Raw genomic sequence first — 17,243 nt, forward strand, 5'->3', positions numbered from 1 at the left:
AAATCTTCCCTATTTTCTTCTACCTTTTAAGGATGTAGGGTAAAAATGCTCTCCCAAAATATAAGTGTGCTTGAATGTGATCCATCCTGTCAGCAAAGGCAGGAGTAATCATAATGTAAAGATAGATTTTTGCGTATGGCTTATGCCAATGTTTGTATTTGATGAGGATGTCTGACAGGCAGATCATATGCAAATATTTGAGCTGACCGCCTAGAAATGAGGGAACTGGGAAAGCAAAGATGAAAAGAAGGAGTTTAAAGAAAGTGGAGCAAGTTGTAGCATGTTTGGTGCAATTTGAAGGGAGCGCCAGCACTGCTTTAATTGAGTTCATGCAAATCATTTAACAAACAAACAATACCCAGGACATGGGAGGCAGGATCAGCTTCAGGAAAACTTTTCTGTTGAGTCAGAAAAGATATGAGAGAGAAATGCAGCAGCACACAGAGCAGATAGAACCAGAGTACCAAGTCAAGTTTAGGAATTGTTGAGGCCAAAGGAAGCTGCAGAGTGGACCACCAAGACAGAGCTGATAGGATTACAGGAAGCTAAGACATGTCTTTTTGAATGGAAAAATAATAATAAATATTTTTTTCAAGAGAGCAAAATGGCTTTTATTGGACATTATTGTGTTTCAGACACTGCCTTATATGCTTTATATTACTCATTATGTTTACAACAATCCCTTTAAGTTAGGTGTTACTGTCTTTATTGCATAGATAAGGAAACTAATGATGATAAAGTTGAGTGACTTGCTCAAAGTCACACTACTGGTTGAGAGCCAGCTGAGTTTCAAACACAGTCTTCTGGCTCTGTTGCCCAAGTGCTCAGTCACTCTCCTCTCTTTCTCACTCTTGGAACCTTGACTTGTGCACTAAAATATGTCCAACTTTCTCCAGATCTTCTAGTATGCTGTCTGCTATGGACTGAATTATGTCCCTCCAAATTCATAGGTTGAAGTCCTAAGCCCTATGACTGTGTTTGGGGCTTTAAGGTGGTAATTAAGGTTAAATGAGGTCATAAGAGTGAGGCCCTAATCCAGTAGGACTGGGACCCTTAGAAGAGTGAAAGAGACACTAGAGATGATGGGATGATTGCACATGTGAGGACACAGTGAGATGACAGCCATTTATCAGCTGCGGAGAGAGACCTCACCAGAAACCAACTCTGCTGAAGCCTTGATCTTGAACTTCCAGCCTCTAAACTGTAAGGAAATAAAGTTCTGTTCTTGAAGCATCCAGTCTATGGTATTTTGCTATGGCATCCCTAGCCAACTAATGTACTGTCTAGCAGTAACAAAGGCCAGCCTAGGTTATGGAGAATCAAATCAATACAGATATATTACCTGAAATATGAAATGCACGATGATACTTGGCTCTGCACCTGGGGTATTGTGCTAGACCTGGAGTTATACTATAACTTTGGAAGGTAACTGGTGAGGAAAATGGAATGATAGTTTAGTTATTAAACTTATATCTATTGAGTTCTCTCAATGAGCCAGATGTGAGGAATCTAGTGTATAATTGGACAAGATATACATGTAAACAAATAAATGTGATGCCAAATGAAGTGAACTCTATAAAGGCATAGTGGATAGAAAGTGGAATTGGAACCAGGTTAATTCGTGTTCAGATTCAAGGACTTCTAACATTATGAAATGGGGAAAATTGCCTAGTCTTCCTTTCCAAGCCTGCATTTTCTCATCTATAAAATGAGTTTAGGCTGAGGGCTGAGCACAGTAGCTCATATCTGTAATCCCGGCATTTTGGTAGGTCAAGGTGGGAGAATAGCTTGAGGCCTGGAGTTTGAGACCAGCCTGGGGAACAAAGACCCCCTCTCTACCAAAAAGAAAAAGATTTTTTTTTCAAGCAGCTGCGATATGGTAGTGAGCACCTGTAGTCCCAGCCTCAGGAGGCTAGGGTGAGTTGATTGTTTGAGCCCAGGAGGTTGAGGCTGCAGTGAGGTGAGCTATGATCATGCCACTGCACTCCAGTGGGAGCAACAGAGTGATACCCCATCTCAAAAAAATTAAAAACAAAAATAAAAGAAAGTGAGTTTAACACATACACACCCCATAAAACCACTGCGAGATTAAATGACCTATTGTAAGTAAAGTAAATTTAAAGTACATGGCACGTGGTAGGTGCTCAATAAAGTGTATATAGAGTCATCATTGTAATTATCTATGAGATCTAGTGGGGGCAAGCATAAAAGGATTATCTTCTCTATATAGAAATATCAAAGGAAGACTTCCCAGAGAAAGTAATAATCTGAGTTTTTAAAAATGAGTAGTTTATCCGGCTGATAGAGAAAAATGTATTTGAAAGTGCAGTTCGGGTACAGAAAACAGCATGGGTAAAGATAAAAAGACATAAAACCAAATTGCAAGTTAGAGCACTATATTTAATTCAACATGGTTGACCTAGAAATGGAAGGAATAGTGAATTAGGATATGGTAAACACTGTTTATCACAAAGACCCAAAATAGCAGTGGCTTAAATCTGATAGTTTATTCTTCTTTCACATGAACGTTTGAGCAGCTACGGTTCCTCTTCTCTACAGAATCATCAGAGTCCTTGGTTCCTTTTATCTTTGTCTTCATCCACATAGTCCAAGGTAGCTCACTACCAAGTCCACATTCCAGTCAGCGGGAAGGAAGACAGCAAAGGATGGAATCATCACACTTTTCAAGGACAGAAGCCAGAAGTTGAACATGTGCCTTCTATCCATATCCTCTTAACCAGGAGTTAGTTACATGGACACTGTGACCTGCAAGGGAGCCCAGAAAATGTGGTATATGCCAAGATGTTATTTTCCCATACCAAATTCTTAGTTGCAGATTTTTACATTTTTGTTCCAACACTGCCAAAATTTTACCATAAGAACTCTTTTATCAATAGTATTTCTAAGGAAATTGCTATGTTTAATACACCACAGTGTCTGCCACTAATTACTTATTCACCCAAAACTGGCTTCTCTTAGTATGACTACAGTTGGGCTCGCTGATCTGTGCACTCAGTAATCTGCCCCATGTGCTCTCTTACCTCATGTTCACTGTGAGGAGAGGAGGATCTTTATCTCATTTGAACTGAGGGAGAAGAAAAATTTCCACATCGGGTGTCTGAGCAACAACGGGTTCCCTATTGAACAGAAACCCAATGCCAAGATATTGCCAAAGTAACCCTTTCAAATTCTCCCTAGGTCAGAAGTTTATTGTCTAATTTCATAGCCATTTGATGGAAGTTGCAGTTACCATTTTAAATGTATAATGTACATTAGAATAGATAATTTACCTGTGTCATAATTAATTTATAAACTACCTGGCAGAGCGAGGTGGCTCACGCCTGTAATCCCAGCACTTTGGGAGGCCGAGGCAGGCAGATCACAAGGTCAAGAGATCGAGATCATCCTGGCCAACATAGTGAAACCCTGTCTCTACTAAAAATACAAAACTTAGCTGGGCGTGGTGGCACATACCTGTAATCACAGCTATTTGGGAGGCTGAGGCAGGAGAATCACTTGAACCCGGGAGGCGGAGGTTGCAGTGAGCCGAGATCATGCCACTGCACTCCAGCCTGGTGACAGAGTGAGAGTGCGTCTCAAAAAAACAAAAAACAAAAAACAAAAAAAACAAAAACTACCTGACTAAACTAGAAATTAAAAAGAAAAAAAGTCTAATTTTTCAAAGTAAGAGTGCGTACATATTAAATGCATTTAATGTCACAAGAAAAATTTTATCCATAAAAAGATAAATGACATTTCATCAAATAAAATCAAGAATCTGAAAACTATAAAGCTAAATATGGCAACAACTAAGTTCATTATTTCTTTAAAAATAATAGACACCAAAAGTCTCTTTGAGTTAGGACAAAAAGTCAATTAACAAATGAAATAATTACTATAATTTAATTATAATACAGAATATCTAATGATATTGAAGTAGGTGATTAAGCCTAATAGTAATAAGTAATAAGAACTTGTGCCTTGTACTAGGTTCTAGGAGTAAAAGAAAAAAAAAAGTATATGACTGTATTTTCTTTTTTTTTTTTTTTTAATTATAAGACAATGTATTGTAGACCCAGCTGCCTAACTCAGTGATTCTCAATCTTCTTGCCCACTAGAATAACCTTGATGGTTCCAAAAAATATATACCAATGCCCAGGTCAGACTTCAGCACCATATAAACAGACTGCCTAGAAGTGGAGCCCAGATGCCTAGGTGATTCTTATATGCAGCCCTGGTTGGGAACTACTGCCCTTACTAGGCTATGAGCTCCTTGAGGGAAAAGACTGTGTCTGGTTTATCCCTAAGCTCATCATAGTGCCTGACACATATAGATACTCAAATGTTCAATAAATGAATGGATGAGGGGGTGGATGGGTGGATGGATGGATGGATGCATGGATGGATAGATGGATGGATAGATGGTTGAAAGCTAGCATTTCCTGCTCTCAAGGTACTTATTATCAAGTAAGAAAAATACAACTTAAACACAGATAGTTAAGTAGACACAAGCCAGTAGATGTCGCATGATTACCACTGTATTTCACAACAGAGATTATGATCTGAAGGAAAGCCTAATTAAATGCTTACAAGGGAGAACTTTCATTTATAAGCCAAACAGGAAAGGCTTCAATTACACTGCTGATTAACACTTAATTTTAAAAGAGAAGGAAGGAGTCATCACATAGATCTTAACACTTAAAAGGAATAAAAATAAAAATGCTATTAGCAATGAGGGAATGCAAAGACTAAACCTTGGAAGTGAATTTTTGAGTGCTGTAAGCCCTGTTTTAATACCACCTTCTCTAGGACAGACCATGTGTCTGGTTTTGTTGGACTGGATTTTGTTTGGCTTGGTTTTATGGTAACTTTTCTCCCCTGTTATTATTTCCAGGTCACCAGGCCATTCTACTCTCTTTGAATCTACAATCAGTGCTTTCATCCAGATAGATGATCCAGTATTTGGATATTAATCTTTCCAGGGCACTCAGCCAGAAGCATTCTTACCTAACTCCTCCACACCCTAGTGCCACTTAGCATCTAAATTGAGCCCAGATCCTTTGGTACCAAACACTGCTCACAAGGGACTATGCAAATTAAATGACTCCTTTTGAACAACTGGGTATTTATAATTAATATACCTCCCAATGTAAATTAAATGAATAAATATGTTGTGGAAACAAATTACATTTGGACAAGAATCTTTTTTCAGGTCAGCTTGTATATTTATGTCTGATGAGGAAAGAGAAAATTCTTAGTTTCCTTGGGGAGGAAGTTATTAGAAAAATTTGAAATGTTTTTCAGCATAAAATTACATAACGTATCCACTCAAAAACATCTCTAACAGAGTACGGCTTATCAGAAAACAAAAAATTATATTCAACTAGACACAGTAGGCAAATAAAATTCAGGCACAGAAATTGAAAAAATGATTTAAAGTTAGAGCTAAACCAAGATGCAAAGATTATGCCTCATGTTTTTCAACTTTTGATAAGTAATGTACCAAGGTTCTAGAGGCCTCTCATTCTCAGAAGTAAGACCAATCTGGGGAGTGTTCTAACTCCCCTCTGATTCCTGACTGATAAGAACCAAAAAGGAGGGCCCGAGACCACATATGGTACCACCTTTGGTGCAGCCATCAATGACAACTTCCCAAGCAGCAGAGCTGACACCTGGTTCTTATTCTATCTCTGTCATCACATGTGCCAACATTTGACCCAAGCACTAAAAGAACTTTGATCAACAACACAGCAGTATTCCTCAAGTACTTGATCCTTCCTCCCTTCCAGGAGGGGAAACTTTGCTGGTTCCCCTCCTGGTTTGCTGATTCAACATCTCTGTTGGCCTTTTTCACCTCACTTCTTAAGTATTTGTTTAATATTCTGTCCATTTGCCTTTTTTACGGCCTCCAAAAAATGAGTCTCCAGCATATCTTCTCTCCTTTTTAAGGTTCAGATCAAAGTCTCCAAATGCCTTCTGCTTATCTTCTCTTGGATATTCCAGTATCCAAAACAAAACTTGATATCATCTTATTGTCAAATAATCTGGTCCTCTTTTCCCATCTTAGATTCATGATCTTACCATTCCTTCAGTCTTCCAGGCTACTGGGTTGACAAATGTTCTGGATTCCATCTTAAAACTGTATCTCAGAATTAACCTCTGAGATATGTCCCCACTTTCCGTCTCTTTGCTCAGGCTCTCATTACTTCTCATCCAGGCTAATTCAAGAGTCTGCTAACTGATCCTCCTACTACTTGTCTTTTCCCCACTGTCACAATCATCCTCCTGGGTTTTCTTCTTAAAGAACAGCAAAATGTAATTTTGTCACAGTCCTGCTTGTAAATTTTTGCTGACTGTCCCTTGCATACAAGATTAAGTCCAAACTTGGCCTGGCTCGGTGGCTCACGCCTGTAATCCCAAAACTCTGGGAGGCCTCGGCCTGAGGTCAGGAGTTTTAAGATCATCCTGGCCAACATGGTGAAACCCTGTCTCTACTAAAAATAGAAAAATTAGTTGGGTGTGGTGGCACACACCTGTAATCCTAGCTACTCAGGAAGCTGAGGCAGGAGAATTGCTTGAACCCTGTAGGCGGAAGTTGCAGTGAGCTGAGATTGCACCACTGCACTCCAGCCTGGGAGACAGAGCAAGACTCCATCTCAAAAACCAAAATCAACAACAAAAGAAAATTTAATCAGAAGGGCCATACCAGGCCTTTCTCAATATGACCCACTTTGCTTCACCAGGTGAGCTCTCTGACACGACTCACCACACTCTTAAATGAATTTCTCTCTTTATTCCCCACACCAGCTATGCCTTTCCTATATTTTACATGTGTTGTATCTTCTGTGTAAAATATCTGATCTTCCCCACTCTACCTACACCTCAACCTGGAAAACTTCTATTTTTTTTTTTATTTAAAAAATAGATCAAATGTCACCTGGCTAGAAAGTCTTCTCTAATTTTCTCAAGGTTTAATCCACCCACATTTGATAAGAACAAGCACGTAATTCCAAGATCCTCGGAAGCATCCTGCTATAAAGTATGTTCCTTGCAACAGACATGAACTGCGTCTAACTGGCTCACCACTGTATCTCCAGCAGCTGACATTTTTCCCAGCACATAATCCTTGTTCAGTTTATATGTGTTTAATGAATTTATCTCTTGCTCTTTAGTCATTAGAGCACAGAGACAAGGAACATAGTTGAGACAGGAATTTGGTGGAAGGGGGAATGTTAGGAGAAGAGGAATACAGAATCCTAGTCAGTCAGTAAACTAAAAAGTCTAAGCAGACAGAGAAACTGAATTTGAAGTCTATCAAAGAGACTTCCTAGGAGCCCACATGAAAGAGAAGGCTCTAAGGCTCAGGTGTGAACAGAGAGACAGTGGTTAAAAATGCCAATCCAATATGAACCCCAGGCAGGTAGATTGTCTCTCTTTGAAATCCCATGGGTCTTTTACATGTAGTGTCTTGTATTACAATTTATTTGTTCACATGACTGAAACACCCAACAGACTGTGAGTTCCTTGAAGACAGCCACCTTATTCCTCCTTATATTTTGAGTACCTGTTACTGTGCCCACCACTTACCCAAGGTTTTACTATAAATTTCTTGTTCCATTAAAAACCCTTAGGCATAATAAATGATTGTGCAGGGACTGAGTTTCACTGTTAGAACCACTAATGAAGGCAGACCTGGAGTCAGAGAATCCAAAGTATTAATGCGTTCAGTGAGACCATGAAAGTTCAAATCACATGAGACACCTGAGAACCTTGAGTTTGCTTTTCACAGATTTATTTTTAGGGCAATGACCCTGAACTTTGTGACCCAGACCTACTTCTACTTGGTCCCAGTAAGTTTTCATCTTCAGAAGAGCTGAGAAATAGCTCAAGCTGAATAATTGGCCATAATTTAGTCAAGGTCTTCTTTGACAGTTTGTTGACATTTACAGTCTCTAAGAGTATGATCCTGCCTGATTAGACTCAGAATACAGTCAGCCCCATTTTTAAAAGACCAACTCTTACACAAAATTATTGGCCTATTAGCTTTTCAGTATTACTCTTTGATACAATGCAAATATGAGCTTCTCAGGTAAATATTTCACACGAGGACTCTTATGGAGTGGCCACAAATTCTTTAATCTTCCTCCTTTCAAGAAGTGAAGCCCATGTGCTAGAATCTGGGTGGGCTTGTGGGGTGTAGAGGAGAAAATGCCATCTGATTTCTAAGGTGAGCTCATTAAAAAGCCATGCAGCTTCTGCCTTGTTCACCCTTGGAGCTGCCTGAGCCAGATAGAAGAATTCTGACTATCCTGAGACCACCATGCTGGAGGGTGCACAGGCAGATACTCCACCGACAATCCCCACTGAGCTGGTCCTGCAGCCATCTCAGCCCAGGAGGGACACGTGAGAGAAGAAGCTGTCTTGGAAGTAAAACTCTAGCTCCAGTCATCCAAGTCACCCCAGCCATTTGAGTCACCCCAGCTGAGGTCCCAGAGCCACCTCACCTTTCCAAGTTATTCACTACACCTCATTTCAGACCCAGATTTATTATAACAAGTACTTGGTGTCCATAAGAAAAAAAAAAAAGTCCAAGTCCAGCTCCACTGATAGTGGAGGAGCTGAATTCAAGACCCATAGGATTTGAGCTGAACTTCCTGGGTCTCAGGGGCACTAAGATAGACAAACCCAGCAGAGATGTGGGCCTTGGGAGTCCATCTTTCTGAGCATTCTTATGCACCGATACTATCTCCAGCTTCATTTTATTCTTGATTTTCTTTCCCTCTGTCCCATTTTCTTCACGTTATATAAATGAATTTTCCTAAGCCATTTTCAATCTTTTTGAAAATCAAAGTAAAGTATAAATACACAAAGTTATGTTAAAAAGATGTTGAAGAAAACAGCAGTCCAATCAATTTTTGTTGAATTAACTCATTCATTAAAGGTAAAAGCAATGATAAAGTCCTATCTTTCTCTCTATTCTTAGGATAGGTGCTGTCTTACTTTTTTTTTTTTACTGACAAGATGCTACAGATTGAATATTTGTGTCCCCCAAAGATTCCTATGTTGAAATCCTAACCCCAAAGTGATGGTATTAAGAGTATCTAGTGGTGGGGCCTTTGGTAGGTGATTAGGTCACGGGGGCTCTGCCAATTTATTTATGTGCACAAATTAAAAGGGCACAATAGTATTAGTGCCCTTATAAAAGGGACCCCAGAGAACTCCCTCACTCCTTCCATGATGTAAGGACACATCAACACATCAAGGAGATGCCTGTCTATATGAACCAGGAAGCAGGCCCTCATCAGATACCAAATTTTCTGACACCTTGATCTTGGGCTTCCCAGCCTCCAGAACTGTGAGAAATAAATGTCTATTGTTTATAATCCACCTATTCTATGGTAGTTTGTTATAGCAGCCCAAACATAAGGGATAATATCCCAGAATAAGGGATAATAATAACAAACAACTTGTTTTATTTCTCAGATTGATGAATACAATCTGGAAGTTGGTAAGGGGTGTTCAACTTATCTGTGATACATTGGCAACATGGAATATTAAGGAACTCCATAGGTAACATGTAATTGACCTGAAGGGATGTTTTGAAGGTGTGGAAATACAAAAAGTAAACTATAACCTTGTGCATATGGTGAGATCCGATTTGGAAAAAAAATAATAATAACACCAGCCAAAGCACACACATATGCACATGAACATGTAGAAATACGTGAAAGGATTCCCACCAGATTGTTAGCATTTGTCATTTGGGGACCCAGAGATGGGAAGTGCAGGGGGTAAATGAGGTGAAAAGATTTTAATAGCTCATTTTGCCTTTATTTTCCTTTATACTGTTTCACTTATTGCACTAAGTTCACATTACTCTTGCAATTTTTGAAGAGAAATTAAAGGGGGAAGGTTGTTATTTTTTTTAACGCCTTAGAACATGCATTTTTTCCCCTCTTTCCCTTATCCTCCCATGGTAATGTCTATTGATCTACTCTTAGCATCCTACGTGCTACAGCACATGATTTAGAATTTGAAATTCTTTTCACTTTTAAATAACTTTATTGAGATATATAATTTACATATAATAAAATCTGCCTATTGTAAGTGATTTTTAGTAAATTTATAGAACTGTGCAGTCAAACCCACAATACAATTTTAGGATATTTCCATCACCTGGCAAAATTCCCTTGTGGCTATTTGCAGTAAATTACTCCCACATATGCCCAGAGCTTCTGTCTCTATAAATTTGTCTTTTCTAGGTATTTCATTACAATGGAATTTTACAATATGTAGTCTTTTAATTCTGGCTTCTTTCAGGAATCATAATGTTTTTGAGGTCCTCCATGTTGCAGCATGTATCAGTAATCTGTTCTTTCTTTTCTTTTCTTTTCTTTTTTTTTTTTTCTTGAGACAGAGTCTCGCTCTGCTGCTCTGTCACCCAGGCTGGAGTGCAGTGGCGCGATCTTGGCTCAAGCAACTTCTGCCTCTCGGGTTCAAGCAATTCTCCTGCCTCAGCCTCCCAAGTAGCTGGGATTCAGGCGCCCACCACCACACCTGGCTAATTTTTTTTATTTTTCATAGAGATGGGGTTTCGCCATGTTGGCCTGCCTGGTCTCAAATTTCTGACCCCAGGTGATCTGCCCGCCTCAGCCTCCCAAAGTGCTGGGGTTACAGGCATGAGCTACCGTGCCCAGCAATCTGTTCCTTTTTATTGCTAGTTTTTAATTTTATAGATATATCACCTTGTTTAATCTTTTCACCGCTTGATGACATTTGGGTTGTTTCCACTTTTTTGGCTATTATTAATACTGCTGCTGTGAACATTTGTGTACATACACCTACTATGTACCCACAAAACTGGAATTTGAAATTTCAACAAAGAAGGTGTGAGGTTATTGATAGACAAGAGGGGCCATTTTATAAGTGATCGAGGCACAATTCATTATATACATGTTGAGCCACTGAGAGCTCCTCTAACACACCATGTTTTGGTACATAGCTAGTAAGTGAAAAATTAGGTAGCCCCTGAGTACTTATTTAAATTATCTGCCTCTTTTGGATAAATGCATGGAAAAATTCTAACAGTTACAGTTTGTTAAAACCTGTAAACAAATACCCAATTAGCAGCAATCTCATTGAGACTATCAGAAGCTGAAAGAAACCACACTCAACTTCATAACTCAAGTAGAATTCCCCTTGCGAAAAAAAAAAAAAATCCATGGTAGTACTGGACTCAATACACAATTTTGCTACCAGGTAACCAACAACAAAAAAAACAGTTTGCATAAGGTCAACTATCTCTAAACACAAATTCACAGTTTTGGCAAATATTCTCCAAGGTTTAATTGGTTTATATCAAACAACTCCAAACAGCATGTCAGTCATTTTTATTAGTAAGGGGCACATTTCACAAGTAATTTTCTCTAGAGGGTTCACTGAGAAGCTTTCAAACTCAGACATTTCTCAGATGGATTTCTGAGATTTTTCTCGGGGTAATTCTGCTTTGAAAATCTTCCAGGCTAAAATTGCCAAAGCCACGGTCTACAGTGTAGACCTTTGGAACTTTGTTGATTGATCTGCCCCTATCCTGGAGCAGACCCAGAATTGTATTCTGAGAAAAATCTATTAACTGTCTATAGTGCTCCTAGGCCTTCTCCATGCAGAGGTAGGCCAATGTCTATTCAAGACAAAGTCTAGCTTAGGCACCTTAATTTTCATAAGGGGACATTAACCTTTTTCTCTTTGCTCAATTGATCTCTAAAATACATACTTTTTGAAGTATATTAGCTTTATAATACATGTGCTTCAATCATAACACCAAATAATTGCTCTAAGGCATTTTTCAGATAATAAAATACCTGACAGTCACTACCCAGCTTTTATCAAAAGACGTAAGAAATAATATTCATAGAGAATCCATAATTAATTCATAATTCAAGGAGATAAAGTCTACCCAGCCCAACAAATAGTTTAGATTTTTATCCCTGGATCAATCCAGGCATGCGATGTGGCTGAAGTATAAGTTACGGGAAGGGAGAGGCTGGAGAAGGTTGTAAAGAGACAGCCAGGCTTGGGATTATATTTCAAAGGCCTTATAGCCCATTTATTCAGTCACCATGAAATGCTGTGTCATCAAAGGATTTCAGATAGGTAGGACGCTGTTACATAAGACCAGGTAAAAGGTGATTAGTATCTTAGCAGAAACAGTTATAATTTGAATTTAAATTCAATAGGACTGAAAATTGGTTGAATGTAGGAGACAAAGGAAAACAGTCAAGATGACTCCCGTAGCATGGGCCCTGAATGGAGAATACAGAAGAAACAGGTTGGGGCAAGAAGTTAATAAGCTCAGTGTTAAAAATGCTGAGTTTGATACCCCATAGAGTATCCCCAGAAATGACTTACTGAGTTATTCATGAATCTGAAGCTTGGAGGATATGGGCTGGTGATACAGGTTTGAGAATCATCAGCAAATAAAAGACAATTAAAACTATAACAGCTACCTACCTGCTATGTCTCCTAGGCCAAGTCACCTCTCTATGCCTCCATTTTCTGATTTGTAAAGTGAAGATTATCATACCTAATTGAGGGTTACTTAAGAAAATTACTATACTTTTGCTTAGTATGCTCTTGATATATGTCAGTTGTTTAAAAAACTAAATTAATTGCCAAGATTGCCTTGCAAGACCACATAGAACAATGGTTATTACACTTTTGGAGAGAAATTAATGCTTTTGAGAATAGCTGTAAACTATGGACTTTCTTATTAGAAAATTACACATAATCAAAGACCCAAATTTTTGCACAGAATTTCAGGAGGCCTGTGGATCACTAAAGAACCTGGGTTTAAAATTTTTTGATGTACAAGGGGAAGAGGGAAAATCTGAGAATCAAACAGGAAAAAAAAAATTATGAAATGAGCAGATTAGGAGAAGACCAAGAAGAGATTATCAGAAAGCGGCAAACATCAAACAGTTTCAAGAAGAGGCTGTGACCAATTTTCCCAAATTTGGCAAGTAGGGCCAATAAGATGAGTTAAAATGATCATTGGCAACATTCACGAATTGTATTAGTCTAGTGATGGGAGAGAAAATTAGAGATCAGTCAGTTAAGGAGTGAAAAGGGAGTGGAAAAGCAGTGGCAACTCATGGACAAAAAGGAAGAAAAAAGATGGAATGAAAGACAAAAGAGAATTTGTGGTCAAGAAAGGGCTGACTTTCTGTTTGCTGTGTTTGTTTTGTTTTGTGGTCATGAGAATTTATTTTTTGTTGTTTTGGGGTATTTCGTTTGTTCATTTTTTAAGGATGAGAAAGATTTGGGGTGTATGGACTCAGGATTGGAGCCAACAGAAGGGCTAAGGTGGAAGATAAGAACAGAGTGGGAATGACTGATGAAGCAACATTCCAGGAATGGAGATGGGGAGGAAAGAAATGGAATCAAGGGCTCCAGGAGAGGGCTTGGCTTTGTGCTAGAAGGACACATCATCCTCCAAATATGTGGAAAGGAGTTAAGAAAGTGTCTATATATTAGTAAGTGCTGGGCAGGGTGGACAATTGATGGATGACTGTAACTTTCTCAAGTAAGAAACAAGGTGGTTTTTGGGAGCCTGAGGCAGGAGAATCGCTTGAACCCGGAAGGCGGAGGTTGCAGTTAGCCAAGATCGCGTCACTGCACTGCAGCCTGGCGACACAGCGAGACTCCATCTCAAAAAAAAAAAAAAAAAAGAAAAAAAAGCAGATTAACAAGGTGGTTTACTGAGAACATTGGCAGTTAAATGTTGAGGAAATGATGAAGATTTGGAATAGAAGCCAAAGAGGATGATAAAGAAAGCTAAGCAAAACAAGTAAACTTGTATTACTCTGGATTAAGCTCTTGGAACTCATTTCTCATAAGTTTTTAAAATCTTGATAACCACTGATGAGAGAATACACCAAATAAGTATTTTGGCAATTAGTCTTCCTATTTCACTAGCAATTGTGTTTAGATAAAAATCATTATAATTACATCTTAAGCTTCTTGTAATACATTAGACTTACAAAACTGCAAACACTATACTAGATATTATGTATGTATATATTATATTATATTATATAGATCATATACATTATGTGATACTAAATGCCAAAATTTTACTTGATGTTTTGAAGTGCTTAGTGTTGTTCAATGCTTACTTTAGCCAGCTGTTATGTTTTCAGACAGTGATTTGCTTTAGTCTTCTCTTCCTTGCAGAATCATAAGGAACCTTAGCTTATGAGAGCAGTTTCTTCAAGAATCTGCTTATTAGAGTAAATAGAATGAATTTCATTTCGTACAGTTACTACTACAACATTTGATGATACCAAAAGCAAAGTGAAACCTGAAGCATGCTCACATAATAAATTACAAAATTTTCCATATGAAGCATTCTTTATTTTCTGAACCCAAAGCTCTGTGTCCCTTTGTAATGAATCAGCATCTCAGGCAAATGTTCTTGTGAGGAGGCAAATTTTTCCCACTGGATTTAGCACTTAAAACAGAAGTTGTCCCCACCACCACCACACTTTCTAAATACAAAGAGCCCTGTTATAAGATAGTCTCATCTGAGTTGTTTTTCTTTTTTCTTTTAGATTATGTGGGAAATGTGTTGCATATTTGCATTTAGTATTTGTGCAAATGTTTTAAACCTTTTTCTCCGTGTTGAAGCTGGTTTCGGTTATAGTTATCCGAATAAGGGGGGGAAAGAGGTGAAAGGACAATATAGTTTAAAGTATTTAAAGCCCTAAAACTTCACAAACCAGGAATTAAATATAAAGGTATTCGAGTTTTTTCTGACTTATGAAAATTTAAAGAGCAGTACCGGCCGGGCGCGGTGGCTCACTCCTGTAATCCCAACGCTTTGGGAGGCCGAGGCGGGCGGATCACGAGGTCAGGAGATGGAGACCATCCTGGCTAACACGGTGAAACCCCGTCTCTACTAAAACTACAAAAAAATTAGCCGGGCGTGGTAGCGGGCGCCTGTAGTCCTAGCTACTCCGGACGCTGAGGGAGGCTGAGGCGGGAGAATGGCGTGAACCCGGGAGGCGGAGCTTGCAGTGAGCTGAGATCGCGCCACTGCACTCCAGCCTGGGCGAGAGAGATTCCGCCTCAAAAAAAAAAAAAAAAAAAAAAAAGAGCAGTACCAAAAATATGTAAGGTTTTCTTAGAAAATATAAAGTGCTAACCTAAAAAGGAAAATAATGTATTTGCCACATTTAACAAACACTTATGGACCAAGATAAAACAGATAGCCCATAAATTTGGCGTTGTCCCTTTAATGTACATGTCTATAGTGCCACCATGTGGTACTACCGGTGTTGTAAATATTTCTAAATACAGTAATTCAGATATTCTGAAAGTTAGACACTAGATGGCAGTATATTTCCCTTTAAAATTGTTTATTCATGTTCAAAGGCAGTATCTATTTTTTATGGTATAACTTTGTTGAAAAGTAAAAAAAATTACTACAGTTTTTAAAATAATATGCTTTGTAACATAGACTGATTGCATTAAAAAGTATGCTTTTAATCATCATTTATTTCTCAAATAGAAGCAAAATATTAAAATAACTACTTGCTTCCTTTATTAGCATGCCCAACCTAGGCAAAAGAATCTCACCAATTTTTTCTTCTTCTACTAAAGTCCTGTGATTAGCACAGTAGGATCCAACTGTATTGATTCTATATAATTACTAATTAACAAAATTTTACTAAGTAAAGACTTAGAGGCAGAAAAAACAATGAGAAATTTAGGCAACGAGTCAGCTTAGGTTCATTTATGTACTGTCTTCAATGGCTAAAGAAGAAATATTGGCAGGGGAGGGCTATGACTTTCATTCTATCTCCCTTTTATCCTGCTTCTGAGGCTAAGGGCTCTTCCTAATTTATCCTGGCAATCAGAAAGAAATACTCTATGCCATCCTGAAATACAAATCCAAGATGCATTGTTCAGGAGGTTTTCCTAGTTGGAAACAGCAAGTGCTACATGATATATCAGCATCCAACAGAGCCATGGCTTTTTGTATAGAAATTTGTCTTTTCCTTAATATAAACAAAATCCAGATCTTCCAAAACTGTCAAAGGATCACCAGGCACACAAAAAACGTTAGCAGGAGCATGAAGCCCCAACTCTAGTTAATGTATTAATTTCTCCTTTGGGCTCTTGCTTCTGACATCTGCCTCTACTAGGTAGGTTTGAGACAAGAAGTAAAGGAATGCTCATTTACCTTTAATATCCTAGCCCATTTTTGGACAGAGACCCTGCCTTTAACACCAATAAGCAAAACTACAACAGAGCTAGCATATTTAAATGAGACTTAACTAAATAAAAAGGAATAACTATAGATTGCTTGATAGAAACAGAATTACATTAGTTCCATCAGAACTAGTTTCCTGATAGTTTTTATAATTAATATGTAAAAATATTTAACTATCCCCTTGATTTTTGAGTACTCACTGGGAGAAAATTAAACCATGTCCTTTCCCTGGAATGATTCTAATTCCTCACAAGAAAAAACTTGAGCTTGGAAACCTTGAGTCTTGATAGAATTTGATTACCTTTGAGATAGCATTGGGGGTGGAAGGTGGCAAGGAAATAGCCTTTTTGTGCTTTGGAACTAAAAATATGTAGAAGTGATCTTCACCAATAACCCTCTCCTCACACATATGCAGAAAATCAGGACTTTGGGAAGGTACATGAGGCAAGTGGGCTAAATTGTTTGAAAAGGGGCCTGTCATAATGGGTGGAGGGGTAAATGGCTGAGCTCAAGTACTCGAGTCCTCCAAGAAGAAGAGGGAGGACCAGGCTGCATGTTCCCACCCACTCCCATACAGATGGTGACCAAAACTTCACCCCCAAATTGAACAACACTCCTGAACAACCAAAGGGTCAAAGAAGAAATTTTAAAAAATAACTTGAGACAAACAAAAATGGCAACACAACATACCAAAACTTATCAGATGCAGCAAAAGCAGTTCTAAGAGAGAAGTTTATAGTGACAAATGCCAACATTAAGAAAAAGGAAAGTTCTCAGATAAACAGTCGAACTTTATACCTCAAGGTATAGAAAAGAATACCTTGAGGAACTAGAAAAAAAAAGAATAAACCAAACCCAAAGGTAGTAGAAGAAAGGAAATAATAAAGATTAGAGCAGAAATAAATGAAATAGAGACTAGAATAACAATAGAAAAGATCAACAAACTAAATGTTTTTTGAAAAGTTAAACA

General features: G+C 38.3%; 1 long non-coding RNA gene across 1 annotated transcript in view; it reads right to left on the reverse strand.

The window, feature by feature from the left end:
* Positions 1-2,379: 2,379 nt before the first annotated feature.
* Positions 2,380-17,243, reverse strand: part of NFKB1-AS1 (NFKB1 antisense RNA 1) — an 83,885-nt gene continuing 69,021 nt past the window's right edge. The window contains exons 3-5 of the long non-coding RNA NR_136202.1: positions 3,475-3,572; positions 3,042-3,137; positions 2,380-2,766 (exon numbers count right to left, since the gene is read on the reverse strand). This is a non-coding gene — a long non-coding RNA (NFKB1 antisense RNA 1). The remainder of the gene's footprint in view (positions 2,767-3,041; positions 3,138-3,474; positions 3,573-17,243) is intronic.

Source organism: Homo sapiens, chromosome 4, assembly GCF_000001405.40.
Source record: "Homo sapiens chromosome 4, GRCh38.p14 Primary Assembly".
NCBI lineage: Eukaryota > Metazoa > Chordata > Mammalia > Primates > Hominidae > Homo > Homo sapiens.